We start from the raw sequence: 21,505 nt of genomic DNA on the forward strand, positions 1-21,505 counted from the left end.
GCCTCCCAAGTGGCTGGGATTACAGGTGCCTACCACTAGGCCCAGCTAATTTTTGTATTTTTAGTAGAGATGGGGTTTCACCATGTTGGCCAGGCTGGTCTCGAACTCCTGACTTCAGGTGATCCACCCACCTCGGCCTCCCAAGTGCTGGGATTACAGGCGTGAGCCACCGTGCCCAGCCAAACATTTTAATTATAGCCAAACAGTAGGCTGGAGGCAGTGTCTTCTGGCTGAAGCCAGTAATTTCTCTTTACAGAGGTATCCCAGAGGTGACAGAACTTGATCTGGGCCTGGAAGGGGAAGAATTCGGGAAAAGCAACGTGGGGCATTCCAGGTAAGAGAAATGTGTGCTGGGTGCGGGGGGAGGTTTCTGGAGTGGCTCAGGAGAAAGCAGAGGTCATTATCAATTCATTTGGTGAGATGGTGGAAGAGTAAGAAATGAAATAGGTAAATGATTTAGGGCCAGATTCTGGAGGGGAGTTTAGACTTCGTGACGTTAGTTTACCTGTGTGAGTTGAATGTTGCTATGAATCATTATCCCTGTGAAAAGTGATGAAAATGGTTTTAAGGGTGATTGGGCTGGCAGAGTTATGCTGTTTGGATGGGAGATCCTGTGGGGAGGATAGAAAGGAGGAACTGGAAAAAAAAAAAGCACAATATATCGCTGTGTGTTTTCTTACTCCTTAAAGAGGATTTGGGGAAATTTAAATATGAGTTACTTCTGCTCAAGCATAGAAAGGCAAAGTGACTGAAGTGGGAGAAAAAAGGAAAATCCAGTCACTTATACTTAATTTCTTAAGGTGTTATTCATCCAGAAAGTGAACTTATATAATAATATTTTTGTAAATGCTTTTTGATCACATACTTTATAATAAATACTTTAGCAGTGGGAGAAATAGTACGAATGCATTCCAAGAGGCTAGAAAAGGGATTATATTAAGAAAATATTGTCAAATACCAGGATATTACCAAATCATAGAACTAGAGTATTGGCAGAAAATGCAAAATACTGATGAATCTAATCTCAGGGTAGAGGGAGAATTTGGAGTTGGGGAATAGGAATTGACCAGTGATGAGAAAAAAAGAAAAAAGAAAAGGAGGGAGGAAGGAAGGAAAGAAGGGAAAGAAGGGAGGGAGGGAGGAAGGAGGGAAGGGAGAAAGGAAGGAAGGAAGAAGGGAAGGAAGGAAGGAAAGAAGGGAAAGAAGAGGGAGGGAGGAAGGAAGGAAGGAAGAAGGGAAGGAAGGAAGGAAAGAAGGGAAAGAAGAGGGAGGGAGGAAGGAAGGAAGGAAGAAGGGAAGGAAGGAAGGAAAGAAGGGAAGGAAGGAGGGAAAGAAGAAGGAAGGAAGGAAGGTAGGTAGGTGAGAAAGAAAGAAACTGAGAGAACTAGGCTAGGAAGAACCATGGCCAGGCTGGCTTCAGGTCCCCCCAGAAACTGGTAAATAGGAAGCATGTGCCCCCTCCTTCAGCTGCTCCTGGAATCCAGACCATCAAGTGTCACAGCTGGGCAAGGCTGGGCATAAACGCAGGGAAGCTGGGGCTACTTAGGTCTGCGTCATCTCTCCCCTTCCATCCCTGCTGCCTCTTCTCCCACTATAGTTACTCGAAAAGAACTAACATAGCCTTTTTTCTAGCTTGACCCCCTTTGGTTGAAAGATCAGTATCAACCATGCTTAAATAATCAAACATGGTTAAACAAACATTCTGTGCAATGTTAAGAATTAAATAATAGAAACTCTTTGAGCCCAATCTTTTATTTTGTTTTTTAGTAGAGATGGGGTTTCACCATGTTGGCCAGGCTGGTCTCGAACTCCTGACCTTGTGGTCCACCCGCCTGGGCCTCCCAAAGTGCTGGGATTACAGGTGCAAGCCACTGCACCGGGCGGAGCCCAATCTTTTAAAATACAATAAAAGTTTTCCTTCGGAACTTGGAAACTTACCAAAAATAGTTACAGTCCCTGAGTGGAAAGGAGCTTTGATACACAATTATGTAAAAGAAAGACAACACTCTTTCACCACCGGGAATGAAAAGCATTTCTAATATGGTGACATATTCCCCCAGAGGGGAGGGATGAGGAATGTGATAGTCCCAAACCAGAATGCCAGATGCCTTACTGTTCTCCATTTCCTTTGCTTTTTGTAATTCAACCCTCCTGCTGGACTACACCAAGCCCCAGTTGTCTTCTGATGCTCAACCCAGCTGTTAAAATTTTCAAGCTGTGCAGATATGAAGGGGGCATGACATATACTGAACTTCTCTTTCTTCTTCTGTTGATGCTCATGGTTTCCCCAGTTCAGTGAGTCTTAAGCTGTTTTTTCATTGTGACTCCATGATGTTCCTGTATGACATACTCCCGTGGTCCTACCAAGACTTTTACAAAATCAAACAATTTTTCATGATAAAATTTCAGTGTCACGAAGTACGAATATCCACATAGTCATTTGTAGTCAGTTATTGGTAGATACTAGCTAGATTCAGATGTGATTGCATTCTGTATTTATTTTCTTCACTAATAATCAATGGACTTTGTTAAAAGTTAATAAACTTCATGATAGAAAGTCAGTTTCTCAATTAGGTTTATCTAAGTATAGCAGATTTTTAGCTGCACGTGAAGCAGATCAAAGTAACTGAATACTCAGAATCTAGCAATAAGGAGCCATATCACTTTGTATTGACAAGTTAAAGCAGTTTTTTTTTTTTTTTGAGACAGAGTCTCGCTCCGTTGCCCAGGCTAGAGTGCAGTGGCACGATCTTGGCTCACTGCAAGCTCTGCCTCCCGGGTTCACGCCATTCTCCTGCCTCAGCCTCCTGAGTAGCTGGGACTACAGGCACCCACCACCACGCCCAGCTAATTTGTTTTGTATTTTTAGTAGAGACAGGGTTTCACTGTGTTAGCCAGGATGGTCTCGATCTCCTGACCTTGTGATCCGCCTGCCTTGGCCTCCGAAAGTGCTGGGATTACAAGCGTGAGCCACCGCGCCCGGCTGAAGCAGTTTTTAAAAAAATTGCTTCATCTCCTCCATCCAGTGAATTGATATTTTCCCTAAGCATACCTGTTATGAAATTTATGTTAGTACCTTTAGAATTATATTTCTGTTTCCTAGTATATACTTTATATGTGGATTAGGTATAACTCTGAGAGAATATCTTTCTTAGGTCTGTTACGATTGATGTCAAATTTGAAATCTGCGGATAATATGCCTTTGTTTTTTTTCTAACAAGGTCATGATGTACTATCCCTTTTTTTTTTCTTTTCTTTTGAGATGGAGTAGTCCCAGCTACTCAGGAGGCTAGAGTGCAGTGTCATAATTTCAGCTCACTGCAATCTCTGCCTCCTGGGTTCAAGCAATTTTCCTGTCTCAGCCTCCCAAGTATTTGGGATTACAGGTGCCCGCCACCACGCCTGGCTAATTTTTGTATTTTTAGTAGAGACGGGGTTTCACCATATTGGTCAGGCTGGTCTCGAACTCCTGACCTCAGGTAATCCGCCCTCCTCTGCCTCCCAAAGTGCTGGGATTACAGGCATGAACCACGGCGCCTGGTCTACCCTCTCGTAATCTTTTTTTTTTTTTTTTTGAGATGGAGTCTTGCCCTGTCACCCAGGCTGGAGTGCAGTGGTGCGATCTCGGCTCACTGGCACCTCCACTCCTGGTTCAAACTATTCTCTTGCCTCAGCCTCCCGAGTAGTTGGGATTATAGGTGCCCACCACCATGCCCAGCTAATTTTTGTATTTTTAGTAGAGACGGGGTTTCACCATCTTGGTCAGGCTGGTCTCGAACTCATGACCTCATGATCCACCCGCCTCAGCGTCCCAAAGTGCTGGGAATACAGGCAGGAGCCACCGCGCCTGGCCCCCTTTCTTAATCTTTTAGGGAGATTCTGGTTTTCCTTCCAGGAAATACTCATTTGCCAATGAGTTTGTGTTGCTGCAAAGTTTTCTGCTAAAATTCAAGACAATGTTTATCAACTCAATAAGCACAAATGTGTTACCAAAGAAATAGGACTTCACTGTTAAATGATTTAGTACATATTATTTCACTTCAAAAAAGCCCCAATATATCTGTTTTCCACATAGGTAAATTATGGCAGAGATGATATTAATGAAGAGAGGAACTCTATTAATTACCTATTTCTATGTCAAAGCCAGCCCCAAACTTACTGGCTTAAAAAAGACAAAACAACCAAATTTATTTTTTTCTTATAGCTCTGTGGGTTGGCTGGGCAGTTTGATAGGTCTCTCTGGGACTCAGGCTTACTAATGCGTTGAATTCAGATGACGGCTGGATGTCCGGAATGGCCCAGCTCACATATCAGACTGCTTATGCTGGCTGTTGGCTGCAATTCCTTGGTTCTTTTCCATGTGGGCTTTCATCCTCTATGAGGCTAGAGTTATGGCATGGCAATCTCAGGGCAGGACTCTGGGATAACCAAGTCTGCTGCAAAGGCACTCGTTAAACCTCTGCTTGCTTCACTTTTGTCAATGTGATGTTGGCCCAAAACAAGTCATATGGCCAAGCTGAGAGTCAGTACGAGAGTGAGTTTAGGTGCCATCTCTTGATGGGAAAAATGGCAAGGGGTTTGTGGCTGATTTGGCTGTTTTTAATCTAGAGTGAAAGTTTTCCCACTCTTCTAAAAACCTATTCTTTTTCTTTTGTAAATGAATTATAATCCCAAATTGGAAAATTATTGCCTGGCCCCCTTACTCTGGCGTGGTTGACATGGAAGTATTATATAGAAAGAAAAATCATCCATTACTACAGACATCCAAAACTAGCCCAACTAAAAGTTGTGTTGAGAGAGAAGAGGAGACATGGACAGAAACAGAGGAAAAGGGAACTAAGAGCTGTACATTGGTATCTAGAAATGAATTCTACACTGAGAAATAATAGCACAAGAATGGGTGGACAAGGTCATAGCACGTGATACAATAAAATGGTTATAGTAAAAACCACAGTGATACAAAAAGCACATATATTTACATGAGGCTTTGTAATTTAGAGATTGCTTATGTCTTACCACATTTATCTTCAAGCTAAGTATATAAAGTACTCAAGATGATATTGATTCCCATTTTTCAGTTGATTAAACTAAGATTCAGGGCGCTTCATTAACCTGTCCAAGGTCATAATACCATTAGATGAAGAACCAGGATCTAAGAATTTCTGATAACCAGCCTTGCTCTCATTCTGTGGTAAAACTTCATGCAAAGAATAAACAAGAAAATAAGTGTCAGGAAGTGAGTTTTGAAACTTTATCAAACAAAATATATTCTAAACAAAGAAATTAATGGCCTTTTTGTTTGTTGTTTGTTTTAGTAGTAATTGATAGAAATATTACGTGGGATAGGATTTATTCTCTCCACACTTCTGAACCAATGAATAGAAAATGGGAAGCAAAACTGAAGCAAATTGAAGAACGAGCATCTCATTATGAGAGGAAACCGTTGTCCTCAGTGTATAGACCAAGATTGTCCAAGCCAGAAGAACCACCCTCCATCTGGAGACTATTTCATCGACAAGCTCAAGCTTTTAATTTTGTTAAAAGCTGTAAAGAAGTAATTTCCTCCTCCTCCTCTTCTTCTTCCTCCTCTTCCACTTCCTCTTCTTTCTTCTTCTTCTTCATTATAATTTCAGTTCTTTAAAAAAAAAAGTCTATTATTTGTCTTCATTTCAGGCCATGTATTCTACCAAGAAAATTTAATGGCAATCTTAATGGCATGTGATTTAGGAAAAATATTCCTGTGAATCATTAACCATTTAATTTATATTAGTAATGAAAAAGAATGACACATCTAGTACCAATTAGTTTTTAAAAATTGTGATGATATTTAAATGAAGCTTTATGCTTAGAGGGAGGGGAACCATATTTATTTCAACACAGTAAGCAAGTAGGAGAAAGAAGTGTCAGCCTTTCAAAGAACATGGTGCTGAAAAATAAAAATCACTGGCCGGGCGAGGTGGCTCATGCCTGTAATCCCAGCACTTTGGGAGGCCGAGACGGGTGGATCACCTGAGGTCCGGAGTTTGAGACCAGCCTCACCAACATGGAGAAACCCTGTCTCTACTATAAATACAAAATTAGCCGGGTGTGGTGGCGTATGCCTGTAATCCCAGCTACTCCCAAGGCTGAGGCAGGAGAATGGCTTGAACCCGGAAGGCGGAGTTTGCTGTGAGCCGAGATCGCGCCATTGCACTCCAGCCTGGGCAACAAGAGCGAAACTCCATCTCAAAAATAAATAAATAAATAAATAAATAAATAAATAAATAAATATCACTAAATCAAGCAACAGATGTGTATTGCACATTCTTTTTTTTTTTTGGGGCACTGTGGGGAATGTAAAGAAATATGAAAGAAACGATAAGATGCTTATATGATAGCATAAGTGTGCTGTGAGTCTGATCACTGTTGCTGTATAAAATCTCCAAGTGCTGGAAGTTTTAGAAGGACCTCTCTTTCTCTAGTAAGGGTAGGCTTACTCAAATCTCATGAGAATGGTTTAAGAAATACCTTTCTTAGGCATTTTGGGTAAACCTAATTCAAGCAGCAGAAATTAAAATACTGACAGATTCATTTGAACTTGAATTTTAAAAAGATATAGATAGGGGTATGCTTGTTGGACTTGCTAATCACCAGTCTATAAAATTTATTTCAAAAAGGTTTTTGTTAGGGTTAAGCAACTGAGTCCTGTGATTTTTCACTCATGAAAAGAAAAATATGCTCACCAGCTACCTTTAGCTAAGAGGAAACAAAAGAACTTGTGGATGTATTCCTCTATTAGAAGAACCCTTATGGCAGGAGGCATGAGCAGTTATATTTAAACAACTACCGCAGTAATTAACCTTTAAAAAAATGGTTCCGGCTGGGTGCGGTGGCTCATGCCTGTAATCCCAGCACTTTAGGAGGCTGAGGCAGGCAGATCACTTTGAGGTCAGGAGTTCGAGACCAGCCTGCCCAGCATGGTGAAACCTCGTCTCTACTAAAAATACAAAAAATTAATCGGGCGTGGTGGTGGGCACCTGTAATCCCAGCTACTTGGGAGGCTGAGGCAGGAGAATCGCTTAAACCTGGGAGACAGAGGTTGCAGTGAGTCGAGATCACGCCACTGCACTCCGGCCTGGGCAACAGAGCAAGACTCTGTTTCAAAAAAAAAAAAAAAAGGCTCCTACATACATTTTTTTATGTACTGGGGAATTTACTAATCAATTTTAGCCCAAATCATTTATAATAATAAGTAGTTTTGAAAAATAAGTTTAATTTCATAAACTAAGAAATAAAACTATCATAGGAAGTCATACAAGTAATATTTTTAAGAGTGGTTTCTCTCCTTTTTTCTCTTTGGTCTGCATATTCTAATTGTTTTCACCTTTTGTATGAATGATTAAAAAATAGGTATAATTAGATTTTGAATGGCATAAACCTAGTGACTATTTGTCTTGTTTTTAATAATACAAATGTTCAAATTACAGTTTCTGAAAACTTGAATGAAAAATTCTTTATGAACATTCAGTAGCTACAGTTGAGTTTAGGTTTGCATTTTGTGAATTTTTCTGAATTCTTTTTTGATTTTATGCAGGACGTTCATGTATTTGCTTTGGAATGCAAAGTAGGAGATGGACAACGTATTTACCTTGTGACAACCTATGCTGAATTTTGGTTTTACTATAAATCCAGGTAGGTAGCATGCAGCAGAACCACACATTAAGCTAGAGTTCCATTTCCTTTGCCTAGGAATTTTGGTGAAATTAGTTCAGGCTGAATTGGCTTCCACAGTTCGTGACCACACTATTAGTTGCTCTTAGAATTGAATTCTGGAGTTTTCTTGTCATAGCAATGCTTGAGTATCTCACCAGGTGCTGGGAGAAAATAATCATGCACATACACGAATATATGCGTGTACTCAAAGGGAGTTTTGAAATTTCTCTTTTGCAAACAGGTATTAAATTATACTATTAATCACAAAGGAATATTTATGTTACTTACCTAGTAATGAAATATCTGCTTTATCTTGACTTTATTATTACTATTTTAAATTATTTGTTATTAGCTTTAGTTTTAATTTTTTAATTTTTTTGAGATGGAGTTTTACTCTTGTTGCCCAGACTGGTCTGCAGTGCCATGGTCTCGGCTCACTGCAGCCTCTGCCTCCCGAGTGCAAGTCGTTGTTCTGCCTCAGGCTCCCGAGTTGCTGGGATTACAGGTGCCCACCACCATGCCTGGCTCATTTTTATGTTTTTAGTAGAGACGGGGTTTCACCATGTTGACCAGGCTGATCTTGAACTCCTGACCTCAGGTAATCCACCCACCTCGGCCTCCCAAAGTGTTGGGATTACAGGTGTGAGCCACTGTACCTGGCTTATTAGCTTTATTTTGACTGAGTGATCTATTCAAGTATTTCTTTTTTTTTTTCTTTCTTTTTTTTAATTTAAAAAATTTTTTTTGAGACAGTTTCACTCTTGTTGCCCAGGCTGGAGTACAGTGGCACAATCTCAGCTCACTGCAACCTCCCTGAGTTCAAGCAATTCTCCTGTCTCAGTCTCCCAAGTAGCTGGGATTACAGGTGCCTGCCACCACGCCTGGCTAATTTTTGTATTTTTAGTAGAGACGGGATTTCATTATATTGGTCAGGCTGCTCTCGAGCTCCTGACCTCAGATGATCTGCCTGCCTCGGCCTCCCAAAGTGCTGGGATTACCAGCATGAGCCACCGCACCCAGCCGTATTCAAGTATTTCTCAGACTTGAGTAATGTGTGGAAAAGGAGAGTAAATTGTTAGCATGCCCTATATTGATTTAGAATACTTTTATTCAAATGTTGCTAAGTAGCTTCAAATATGAAACTGGATTTATTTATGTTGATATACATGCAACACCAGTTAGAGTTGAATGAAAATCATTAAGACAATGTGACAGATGTTTTGCTGAAACTCAGTCTCATCTTCCCATGTAAATATGGAACTGACTGCTACAGGGTGTGTATGTATGTATGTGTATGTGTGTGTTGAGTTCCTCCACTACCTGTACCACCTGATGATACAATTTTCACATAACTTTTCCCTCTTCAAATTACTAGAAGTCCTTAATTTGTATAGGATGCCATCTGAATATCACTTAGCCCAAATTATCATTTGCAAATTAAGTCAGCATCTCTCCCTATTTAACCCATGTCAAAGTCATTCCTCTTAATGCCAGAAAGAATGTAACTGCAAACATGAGCGTTGGGAGCTTATCAAAGTCAGGTGATTCAGAATTTTTTAAGCAATTTTTAAAATATTATCTTCCAATGAAAATACAGAATTTAAAAATTCTCATGGAAAATTCATGGAATCCCAAGAATATGGAATCCTGAAAAGAACATTTTTTTTCAAAGAAAATTTGTTTCATGGTGACACTAAAAACAAATATAGAGGTATTACACAATATCAAACTCATCTGTGAATAAATAACACTGTAAGATTGACTGTATTTTCTAGTTAAATAATGTTACAGGATATAATTGTTGCATTTTGCTTGATGGAAACCCTTGATAAGATGAGCCATAAACCTATGGTGAACAGTTCATTTTATCATGTTCTTATTTCATACTTGTATGTAGTGAAAGCACAGTTAACACAGTACTTGCAATGTAAGATAGACTGCCATGATTTAAAAGGTATAAGATAGAGGCTGGGCGTGGTGGCTCATGTCTGTAATCCCAGCACTTTGGGAGGCTGAGGCAGGTGGATCACTTGAAGCCAGGAGTTCAAGATCAGCCTGGCCAACATGGCGTAAACCCTGTCTACTAAAAATGCAAAAATTAACCAGGCGTGGTGGCGTGTGCCTGTAGTCCCAGCTACTCGGGAGGCTGAGGCAGGAGAATCGCTTGAACCCAGGAGGAGGAGGTTGCAGTGAACCGAGATCACACCACTGCAGTCCAGCCTGGGCAACAGAGCTGACTCAGTCTCAGTCAGTCAATCAATCAATCAATAAAGGTATAATATATCAATTTAACAATCTTGAATTATTCAATTTAGAAAAAATCTCTTACACTGCTATGAAGTTATTCCTGAAAATGCTGTGTGCAAGCTTTATTTTGATTTGGAATTTAACAAACCTGCCAACCCAGGAGCTGATGGGAAAAAGATGGTTGCATTACTCATTGAGGTAAATGGCCAACTCAAGTTTTTCTTATTTCTATCCATCTCTTCATTGGCTTATTCATTCAGTGAATTCAGCCTACATAATAGTAGGTTCTGTATCTCTTCTTTTTCTTGCTACTCTTCCTTTTGACTTTAGGATTTTTTAATATTACTTGTATGAGTAAACTGTGAAAAGGAAGGAAAGTTCAATTTGTGTTCATATAGTTTGCAATTTTGCTGTCTGGTAAAAAAAATGCTTTGAAAAAGATGTCAGTTTGAAAATTTTCTATATTTTAAAATTATATATTAATTCTCTGACTTCCATTACGAATAGCTGACTTTGGTAAAACCAGGCAAAATAATTTTTACTGTAAAAATTGGGTACTGAGATGAACCTCAAGAACACTGACTACAAATAGTATTAGAATTTTCAAGCTTGCAGGAATTTTGGAAATCATCTTATCTTGTCCCTTTCAAAATGAGGAAATTAAGGCCCAGACGAAACTAATTCCTATTCAAGGTCCTACAGCTAGTAATGGTAAAATCTTGTCTAAAAATATAGTTACTATTTTTAACTAAGAGAAAAAATACTGTAGTTCTTTATTTTTGATTTAGCTGTGTCAACCAGGAAGTTACTAATAAAAGGAATAGCATGGACTTGTGCAGCTAAGTTCTATTAGGATTATTTCAAAAAAAATTTTCAGATTGTATCACAGGAAGTTGTGTTAAAATTGTATTGACTATTATTCAGCCTAAGTGTAGGTACTGACACTTACTGACTAGCTATTTTTCTTTTAAATGTTAACTGAATAATAATGTTATAGATTACCCATTTTATAACTTTTAAAATATATCCAGATTAAAATGTTTTTGATAAAGAATATCTGCTAGTATTCTCTGTTGGACCTCTACATGCTTGATTTTAAATCTTTGTGAAAATGTATGTGAATGCTATTTAAAAAATATATAGAATGTTAGCTTTATCCTGGCTTTGAAGCAGAAGAAATATATATAAAGTCCCCCACCACCCCCAAAAAAAACCCCAAATTATATTTTTCTTCAAATAGCCATTGAACCCTTAAAAATAAATTTAGATGCTTATTTCATTACAGCTGGTAAATTCTGTTTAATTTTAAACCTTTATTATTATTATTATTATTATTATTATTATTATTATTATTTCTGAGACAGAGTCTAGCTCTGTCACCCAGACTGGAGTGCAGTGGTGTGATCTCAGCTCACTGCAATCTCTGCCTCCCAGGTTCAAGCAGTTCTCCTGCCTCAGCCTCCCGAGTAGCTGGGATTACAGGTGTGTGCCACCATACCTGGCTAATTTTTGTATTTTTAGTAGAGATAGGGTTTTGCCATGTTGGCCAGGCTGTTCTTGAACTCCTGGCCTCAAGTGATACACCCATCTCCGCCTCCCAAAGTGCTGGGATTATAGGCGCGAGCCATTGTGCCTGGCCTAATTATGTTTTTAGTAATTCATAAGTATTGACTTTCTTCTACAGTCTAAAGTAAGATTTCTTGTGTAGTTTCTCCATGGGCTACAAGGAACCTCGATTCAGAGATTTTCACTGCCACTTAACATTGCATATTAGCAAAGAAGTACCACATTGCATTAGAAACTAGAAATATTTCTAATGAAATGAACACTGGAGCAAATTTCATTTGTAACACATATTAATAAACACTGGTATGGCAAAGACCATGTAGGTGTTTAGAATTTTTTTCTCCTTATTCTTTATACTACTTTATCCAAATGAGTCTTGAGCAGCTAATCTTCTGCATCAGCAAAACTGTTGGAAGAAACTGTAGAAATCGAAGTTCAAAATTATACAGCATTTTTATTTAACATGTTTACCATGTTGATAGAACAGTTCTCATTGGATTACTTTACTTAATATAATGCTTTTTATAATGATTACATTGAAATTAATTTCATTTATTGGTTACTTTGTATGCAATAAGTTTATAATCCAGTAAGTACTTTTTCCTTTGAGTCTTACTGTGAGGAGGCATAATTAGGTTAGCTCTTATGCTAATTTAGCAGATGGTTAATAATAATTGGTGATAATGTAAAATACCCTGTGGTTCAGTGGCTAAACTGACACATTTCAATAAGCCCCTTCTCCACAGTTAGAATGAATTCTGGTGCTAATGTATTTTATTAGGACCACATTTCAGGGCAACATTGTCCACTCATGTAAGTTTAACTTCTGGATTTTATAATTTAATTATTTAAGTAACTTAAAGTTTTAATTAAAGTTAATCTTGGGAAATAGAATTTAGGAGAATATGATTACTTGTCCTACCTAAAGCATCACTAAATTTATTCTCTGTAGCTCCGAAAGTACAGAAGTCGACTTCATTCATCAAATAGTTTTTAGTCCCTACTAAGTGTCAGGCACTGTGCCCAGGCACTAGGATTACCAAGTGGTAAGTCAAAGAGACATAATGTCTGATGGCATACACTTTGTAGTCTAATGGAGGATAATACGTTAGGATAGATTTAGCTGCCATAATAAAGACCCAAAATTAAACTGGCTTAAACAAGACAGAAACCTATTTCTCCCCCAAGTAATATCTAATGTGGCTCCGTACTGTTAGGGACTAGGCTTGTTGCTTTGCTGTCCCTAAGATGTTGCCTTCTTCCATTGTCCAAGATGGCTCATACCACTGTGTCTGCATTCTAGTCAGTACAAATGGAGAAGGGGACGGTACGCCCTTTGCCTGTTAGAGGATCACTTAGAAGTGGCATACTTTCCTTCTCACGTCCCATTGGCCAGACTTAGCAGCCACACCCTGCTGTAGAGGAGCCTGGGAAATGTAGTCTTTGTTCTGGATGGCCTCCAATCTAGCTAAAAAATTGGGATTCTGCTTCTACAGAGGGAGAGAACAAATATGGAGGAAGAGCCCCTGTAATACAGAGGAAACATGTCAAACTAATCACATAAATCAACCTAAAATTGTAAGTCTATAAAGAGAAAAAGAGTATGTAGGGGGAATTTGATGTAGAGAGGGAAATCAAGGAAGCCCTCTCTGAGAAAGAATTTACAGAAGAGTAAAGCCAGAGGGCATGAGGACAGTGTGGTGTTAGAAGAATCCCAAAATATCATTAAAAATACAGTTTATTGCGTAACTTTGAGGTATCTAAACTGACGGCAGTTCATAAACATTTTTGCTCATGTCAAGATAATATTGCATGGTAGTTCTTAGTAGCTTCATTTTGCAAATGAGAAAATTGAAGCTTTAGGGACTTGTCCTAAGGCTGCACAACCAAGGCTTTTTTAAGCAGTTACATGTGCTAAAAATTTCCATTTTCTTTTTTATTCCTTAAAGCAACTCCAAAAGGTAGCTGCTATTATTATTCCTGTTTAGCAGCTGGGAAATGTTAAGGTTTAGATTTGACCAAAGCCATAGAGCTGGCAGATGGCAAAGCCAAAACTGACACTGACCTGTCTCTGACTCCAGCCCCCGTGCTTGCTGCCTTTCTATTGTGCATGGCCTTCATGCCCAGTGCCTTGTAGTCTCAGAGGCTGTATTCTTAGAGCTGGAGTCAGGCTCAATATGAACTAGACACTTTCTGGTAATTAAAACCATTAAAAAAAATGAATTAATGACTTTTTTTTTTTTTTTTTTTGAGATGGAGTCTCACACTGTCACCCAGACTGGAGTGCAGTGGCACCATCTTGGCTGACTGCAATCTCCGCCTCCTGGGTTCAGGTGATCTTCCTGCCTCGGCCTCCTGAGTAGCTGGGACTTATAGACACCTGCCACCACGCCTGGCTAATTTTTATGGTTTTAGTAGAGACTGGGTTTTACCATGTTGGCTAGGCTGGTCTCAAACTTCTGACTTCAAGTAATCTGCCCGCCTTGGCCTCCCAAAGTGCTGGGATTACAGGCATGAGCCACCACGCCTGATCAGAAATTAATGACTTTTTAACTCATAGATGATATATAAAGAGATGCTTATTGCTTATAGAAAAATTTTAAAACAAAAAATATAAATTATTTGCATTTTACTTGTGTTTTTAGTATGTGTGTAAAGCACTTCAAGAGTTATACGGTGTTAATTGCTCAGCTGAAGATGTTTTGAACTTGGATTCTAGCACTGATGAAAAATTCAGCCGGCATTTAATATTTCAGCTCCATGATGTGGCATTTAAAGATAATATTCATGTTGGTAAGTACACGGCTTTTTAAAAATCATGGAGTTGTATTCAAAACTCATATGTTCTTATTCCTCTTAAAATTTTGTGTGTACTTATCAAGTTTTATGGTCATTAACTTATCCTAAAAAATGCGATGTAGGCTGAGTGCAGTGGCTCACACCTGCAATTCTAGCACTTGGGGAGGCCATGGTGGGCGGCTCACTTGAGGCTAGGAGTTTGAGACCAGCCTGGCCAAGCTGGCAAAACCCTGTCTCTACTAATTAGCCGGGCATGGTGGTGCATGCCTGTAGTCCCAGCTACTCGGGATGCTGAGGCACAAGGATTGCTTGAACCCAGGAGGCAGAGGTTGCAGTAAGCCAGGATCACACCACTGCACTCCAGCCTAGGCAACAGAGTGAGACCCTGTCTCAAAAAAAATAATGGCAATGTGTTTCTTCATGTTTTCAAGATGTTCCCTTAGCTTTGGACCTGTCTTTCTGTTCTAGACACATCAACCTATTCAGGACATCTTTGGCATTTGCATCTCTAATCCTAGATACTGGGATGGCCATCCATGTCCAGATAGTGGTTTCTGCTCCAACATGATTTATTTCAGTTTCCTGGAAAGTGCATGAGAGGCCTTTCCATTTCAAGCCTTATCTGCAATCTCATTTCTGGATTTCTGACCTTTGCTTCGGCCTTGCTTTGGGGCTTCGGTCCCAGGTCGTATCAAAGATGGCTTGTTTATTGTTCCAGGCAGAGCTTCAGGGTTGGGATAATTCTAGATGTACGAGTCTGAAAGTGAAACCAGATTATTTATCTCAGGCCTGGGCCCAGGTGTAAAACAAAGTCAGTCCAAAGGAGAAACACATAGTTAGAATGGGAACACCATATGAAGGTCTGAATAAAAGCCAAATCCTGAGTGCTTATCAAAGCAGGGGTGGGACAAGAGTCCAAACAGCAGATGATTGACTGAAGCTCAGGTAACAGGTAATTCAGTTCAGAGCTGCTAGCGTCTTAGAGTTTCACGGCCACCTAGAGTAAAAGGCGTGGACATGGTCACTAAAGCACTGGCATGAAAGCCAGGAACCTGATTTCTGGATTAGGGGAAGGTGGCCACAGAGACCCAGCATGCTGTTTTCACAAGGCTCTCGTCACCTGCCTGTTTCCTGGTAGCTCAGCTGGACGTTCCTTCTCAGTCTCTCTCCCTCATCCTGTGAGAAACACAGTCACCCATCCAAACCCAAAGAATGGACTTAGAGGCATGGAGAACAGTGAAAGTGAGACTTTTTTTTTGAGACAGAGTCTCGCTCTGTCGCCCAGGCTGGAGTGCAGTGGCACGTTCTTGGCTCACTGCAACCTCCGCCTCCCGGGTTCAAGCGATTCTCCTGCCTCAGCCTCCCGAGTAGCTGAGACTACAGGCGTGTGCCACCATGCCCGGCTAAGTTTTTGTATTTTTAGTAGAGGCGGAGTTTCACCAGGTTAGCCAGGATGGTCTTGATCCCCTGACCTTGTGATCTGCCCGCCTTGGCCTCCCAAAGTGCTGGGATTACAGGCGTGAGCCACCGTGCCTGGCCGAAAGTGAGACTTTTAATAACGGCCTTACAAGATTGGGTGTCTGGTAGACAGGCACATTCAGGGCAGTTACAGCAGGTAATTTATCTCCTAGCACGCAAGTCCCTCCCCCAGTTCCTCATTGGCTGAGTACTATGGGGTTAACAATCTTTCCAGACATCACCTAAGTTTCATTATCCCCCTTATAAGGTTATACCCCATCCCCTTCCCCACTTGAGTTTTGATTTTCCAATAACAAACTTTCTTCCTTTTTATGGGCTGACCCCTCCTCTACATTCTGTTCACTTATTAAGACTTTCTAGGTGCATGAGCCGTGTGGTTTGTTACATTTGCAGGCTGGCTGCCGGTACTTAGATTTATCATGGCTTGAAAATGAACCATTTAAAATGTTTTCTCACAATCCTTCAGATATTAGTAATGGTAGAGTCCATCTTTGACCCTCTTCCCACTCTATCCTCACCCTTGATGATCAGCCACCATCATGGCTTTGATATGCATCTATGTTGATGACTCTGAAATCTTTATCTTCAGCCCAGATTGTTCTAGACGTCAGACCCATCCAGCCAACTGCCTCTAAACACTCCCCACACAGATGGTTCCAACTTGGCATGTCCTGTGCTGAGCTCCTCATCCTTCCCCAGAGTCACATCTTCTCCGTGATGTGTGTATCAGTGAGTGGTGTCACCAGTTACCCAAGTAGACACGTTGGTATCATCCTTGCCCTCTCTGTGCCTCTCGCCCTACTTAGCCAGTCAGCTGGCTAGAGTGCGCTGATTCTGCCACCTGTGTGCCTCAAACCCTCCAGTGATTATTCGCTGCCTTCAGGCAAAAGCATGGATGCCGTAGCTTGCAAAGCGAGGCCCGCTGTGCTCCAGCCTCATCTTCTGCCACCCTGCCCTTTGCATTCAGCTCCTGTCCTGGGCCACATTTCCTCTAGTCCATGGGCCTTTGAACCTTTTGATGCTGCTGTCTAAACCGTTGTGCCTCCAGATTCACCTGGCCTGTTAGGATTCTGTAGACGTCAAGCTATGTGAGAAGCTGTTTCTGTCATATCTCAAACCCTAAGCCTTACTTGGATTAGTGTTCCTCTGGGTTGCAGAGAACGTCCAGGGCTTATGGTGTCAAAGCATTTACCACTTCCTGAGGTCATTTCCTGTTTTCTTTGTCATCTCCTCTATTCTACTTAATGTTTCTCTAGGGCAGGGACTGTTTCTTACTTTGGTATTTCCAGAGCTTAGCCCATAATAAAAATATCATTATCAATAATATTACTAATAATATTATTAATTACTAATATTATTAATTATTAAAAGCGATTATAAATACAAGTCGGCAGCCTCATCTCCCGCCACCCTGCCCTTTTCATTCAGCTCCTATCATGGGCCACATTTTCTGTAGCGCTTGGGCCTTTGCACTTGCTGATGCTGCTGTCTGACACGATGTGGTCTGTTCACCTGGTCCTCCTTACCATTCGTGCATTCATTCAGAAGGCATTAATAAATACCTTTAGGGACTTGTCCTAAGGCTGCACAACAAAGGCTTTTTAAGCAGTTACATGTGCCAGGCACTGTGCTAAGTCCTTAGTTTCATTTTCTTGTTTACTCCTTACAGCAACTCCAAAAGGTAGGTGCTGTTGTTACTCCTGTTAAGCAGCTGGGGAATGTTAAGGTTTAGATTTGACCAAAGTCACAGAGCTGGCAGATGGCAAAGCCAAAACAGACACTGAGCTGTCTCTGACTCCAGCCCCCGTGCTCGCTGCCTTTCTGCAGTGTGTGGCCTTCATGCCCAGTGGTATCTGAATAAATCCCTTCCAAATGAAGCGTGAATAGTGAGGAGGGACTGCCGTCAGGGTGTGGAGGCAGAGTGCCAAACAGGCTGTTTCTTTGCTTGCCGTGTACTGGTCATCGTCTGCTCCATGGCTACTAGCCACAGGCCGAAAGCTGAGAATCTCTTGCTCAGGAAGAAGGAGAGAATAGAAATTTGTGAGGTACCAGCAGTTTCTGCTACAGGTATCTTCTGAAAGCAGATGGCATTCATCTGGGCTTTCAGTAAGATTTCATTGTATAGTCAAAGGTAAGAAAGCCTTTACAGTCAGAACAACATAAGCAAAACTATAGAGATAAGAGTGCGTGGCTCATTTGGGGACAGTGAATGGTCTAGTGTGGCTAGAGAGATGCGATCAGGCCTTCTCCTGGGCTGCCAGCTCAGCCCCTTTCCCCTAGAATTAGGAGCTGCCAGAGCCAGAGGTGCAGAGAATATGAAGTAATTCAGAATTTTTCCTTGTTTCTTCCTTTAGTGTGTCTTTTGATGACATTTCTAGTTGCTATTGTCAGCCTTTCAGAAAAGAGAATTCAGTTAAATGTAAGAGATCATAGATCTTGATCTGCCTAAAAATACTCTTCTGCCAGTTTGCTGTCATACCTGAAATTTCTATGACTGACTAGTCTTTTGAGTTATTTCCAGCAAATTAGATAGTTCCTGTCCTCATGAGGGTTGGGGGCAATAAGATCCTGGAAGGGAAGTAGAAAGCAGTGTGGTTTGCTGGACCAGTGTGTTAGCGTTGATGCTAGTGACAGTCATCAGTCATGGTCCTGGCCATGGTCGCTCCATGCCAGGGTTCCAAGACCTGTGGCCTCCCCAGCACTGCCATTGCCACCATTTCTGCAACCATGCATTCTCTTCCCTTATTGTCTGGGGTCAAGTAGCTGCAATGTTAAGTTTTCAGGAAAATTAGCTTTATCAGTTTAGGTTTATATGGCTTTGTTGTCCTTTGATATGTTGTGATTTCTTTTCACTTGGTGTTTACTTTCTCTCCTTCATTGCAGAAGTAATCCATCCTGTACCAGCATATCATTGCAAGCACCAAATGCTTTTGCTTTGATTTTGACATTTAGTGCTTTATAAGAAATTGGATTTGTTTCTTTGAGTAGGAAAGTAATTTTTTTTTTTTTTTTTTGTGAGACAAGAGTCTCACTCTGTCACCTAGGCTGGAGTGCAGTGGCATGATCTTGGCTCACTGCAACCTCCACCTCCCAGGTTCAAGCAATTCTCTTGCCTCAGCCTCCAGGTAGCTGGGATTACAGGTGCCCAGCACCACACCTGGCTAATTTTTGTATTTTTAGTAGAGACGCGGTTTCACCATGTTGGCCAGGCTGGTCTCAAACTCCTTACCTCAAGTGATCTGCCCACCTCAGCCTCCCAAAATGCTTGGGATTACAGGCATGAGCCACCACACCTGGCTGAGTAGGCAAGTAATTAAATCTAATGTGAAGAAATAAAAATGTGAATTTAGAGTATGCATTTGTTAATGTAAGGGCCCAAGCTTTCTGGTAAATAAAGTGAAGAATGAATCTAAACAATAACAGTTCTACAGATTAAAATTAAATTTTTCTTACAGTATTGCATTTCTTGAGTATTGTTACACATGAAGCAACTTAATAGCCAAATTATTTGATTTCATGGTGTAAATAATATGTCTGAGTTTGAAGAAGTTCTGGATTTTCTTACCAACTTTTCATGGTACAGATAGTACTGCTGTTACTCTGAGTTCTTAGAATAAATGTTGAAGTGCAGTAAATGTATCGAATTGCTTTTGTTGTGGATGTTAGCTCCGAGGCCGTAGTCCATCGTGTGCCCAGTTTGAGGCAGAGGTAGGAGCAGCAGCCTAGGGGCTGACGGCTGTGAGAGCCAGGGTTTGCAGGGCGTGTCGTGGCAGGTAAAGGAGAGCAAATGAGCTCTTGAGAAATTTGCCAGTGCCCTAACTCCCCGAGATTTCCTCAGTGCTTCTGTCTGTTAGCTGAGCAGCAGTTTCTTCATATAAACCTTCATTCTTCATTATTATTATTATTATTTTTATGATCTCTTAAGGGCACGAGAGCCCTTCATTCTGTAATCATTGAATGTGAAGATGAGTCCTCCCAGTATGTATTAATAAGTAGTGTTTTCTTGATGACAGCCTCTTAGGCTCAGGCCCTACCAGCAGCATTGACGCATCTTCTCAAATGAACTTTCCCTTCTAAGATAATTTGTTTACATCTCACACCAGGCTCCCAAGTCAATGGAATTGAAAAGGTAAAAGATTTCACAAAAGGAAGTCACAGGAGTGGCATATAACAATTTATAGCGACTCGGTTTTTTTTTTTTTTTTTTTGGTAAGATGGAGTCTCACTCTGTCACCCAGGCTGGAGTGCAGTGGCGCGATCTTGGCTCACTGCAAGCTCCGCTTCCTGGGTTCATGCCATTCGCCCACCTCAGCCTCCCAAGTAGCTGGGATTACAGGCGCACCACCACGCCCTGCTAATTTTTTGTATTTTTAGTAGAGACGGGGTTTCACCGTGTTAACCAGGATGGTCTCGATCTCCCGACCTTGTGATCCGCCCGCCTCGGCCTCCCAAAGTGCTGGGATTACAGGCGTGAGCCACTGTGCCCGGCAGCAACCCAGTTTTGAAACCAGAAATCAAAAAATGGTTTTCTGTGTAAAATTGTCATATGTGGATTCCTGGCTAGACCTTAAGATGCGGTGTGTGGAGAAGATCCAGGTGAATGATAATAGCTTTTTTCCTTAGGTAATTTTTTGAGAAAAATTTTGCAGCCTGCTCTTGACTTGCTTGGCAGTGAAGATGATGATAGCGCTCCAGAGACAACAGGCCATGGATTTCCCCATTTTTCAGAAGCACCTGCAAGACAAGGATTTTCTTTCAATAAAATGTTCACAGAAAAGGCTACAGAGGAAAGCTGGACATCGAATTCAAAGAAACTGGAGAGGCTGGGGTCAGCTGAGCAAAGCAGTCCTGACCTTTCATTTCTAGTTGTGAAGAATAACATGGGAGAGAAGCATCTTTTTGTAGATCTCGGTAAGTAAGATTGACAGCTTTCTCCATCAGACCGCCCTGGTGCTTTCGTGAGAGACGGGTTGGTGCCCACTCGTCACCGTGCTCGGGATTCTTGCTTCCTCCACTGCCCAAGTCGCCAGCACGATGCAACCAGTGAGTTCAGGTGCTGGGAATCTGTGAGGTTTTTCTCCAGAGATCTTAGAGGGGTCCAGGCCGGCCTGAGCTCCAGCAGAGGATGGCTGTGGCTGGCTTCTGCTCTGCATGTCCAGAGGATTCCTGCTGAGGGAGTTTTACAGGGGACAGTTGGACCAGCTTCCTCCAGGACTGCTGAGAGGTTAAGTCAGAGTACAGAAATTTAAAAAACAGACTCGGTATAAAAGCAGTACTCGTGTGGCGCGGTGAGCCTGGGTGTTCTCCTCACCGAAGATCTCAGTGGTAGTGGCAGGGCCCATTTCATCAGCTTTCTTGCTGTGTTCAAACCAGTGATTTCTTAACCCAGTGTGGTTTGCTAGGCCCTGGTCTCAGAGCCTGAGGATGTCAGAAGCCCTGGGCTGACAGGACTTGAGCATGATTCAACAACAGGCCAATCGAGACCCTAACACAACAGCTCCCATTGGTGAACTGCACCTCATTTTTATACTGAGGCTCTAGCTTGTGATTTCAAAAGCCATGACAGCAGCAGGTTTTTTCTTTTTCTTTTTTTTTTTTGAGACGGAGTCCCGCTCTTTAGCCCAGGCCGGACTGCAGTGGCACAATCTCAGCTCACTGCAAGCTCCGCCTCCCGGGTTCACGCCATTCTCCTGCCTCAGCCTCCGGAGTAGCTGGGACTACA

At 41.4% G+C, this 21,505-nt stretch overlaps 1 protein-coding gene across 26 annotated transcripts in view; it reads left to right on the plus strand.

Moving 5' to 3' along the window:
- The window catches only part of PRIMPOL (primase and DNA directed polymerase), a 45,215-nt gene that overhangs the window by 2,029 nt on the left and 21,681 nt on the right, over positions 1 to 21,505 (plus strand). For 10 of the 26 annotated variants that reach the window (XR_938701.4, NR_144314.2, XM_017007867.3 and 7 more), the window contains exons 2-7: positions 257 to 334; positions 5,316 to 5,554; positions 7,574 to 7,671; positions 10,008 to 10,137; positions 14,151 to 14,298; positions 20,407 to 20,694. Coding sequence is in view for 22 of the 26 variants with exons in the window: in XM_017007867.3 (XP_016863356.1) it covers positions 5,375 to 5,554; positions 7,574 to 7,671; positions 10,008 to 10,137; positions 14,151 to 14,298; positions 20,407 to 20,694 (844 nt within the window). In the remaining 4 variants the exon portion in view is untranslated. Of the gene's footprint in view, positions 1 to 256; positions 335 to 5,315; positions 5,555 to 7,573; positions 7,672 to 10,007; positions 10,138 to 14,150; positions 14,299 to 20,406; positions 20,695 to 21,505 lie in introns of those variants that run through there. The other 16 variants (NR_144312.2, NR_144313.2, XM_011531720.2 and 13 more) reach the window with 7 other exon arrangements.

The sequence above is a fragment of the Homo sapiens genome, chromosome 4 (genome assembly GCF_000001405.40).
Source record: "Homo sapiens chromosome 4, GRCh38.p14 Primary Assembly".
NCBI classification, from domain to species: Eukaryota; Metazoa; Chordata; class Mammalia; order Primates; family Hominidae; genus Homo; species Homo sapiens.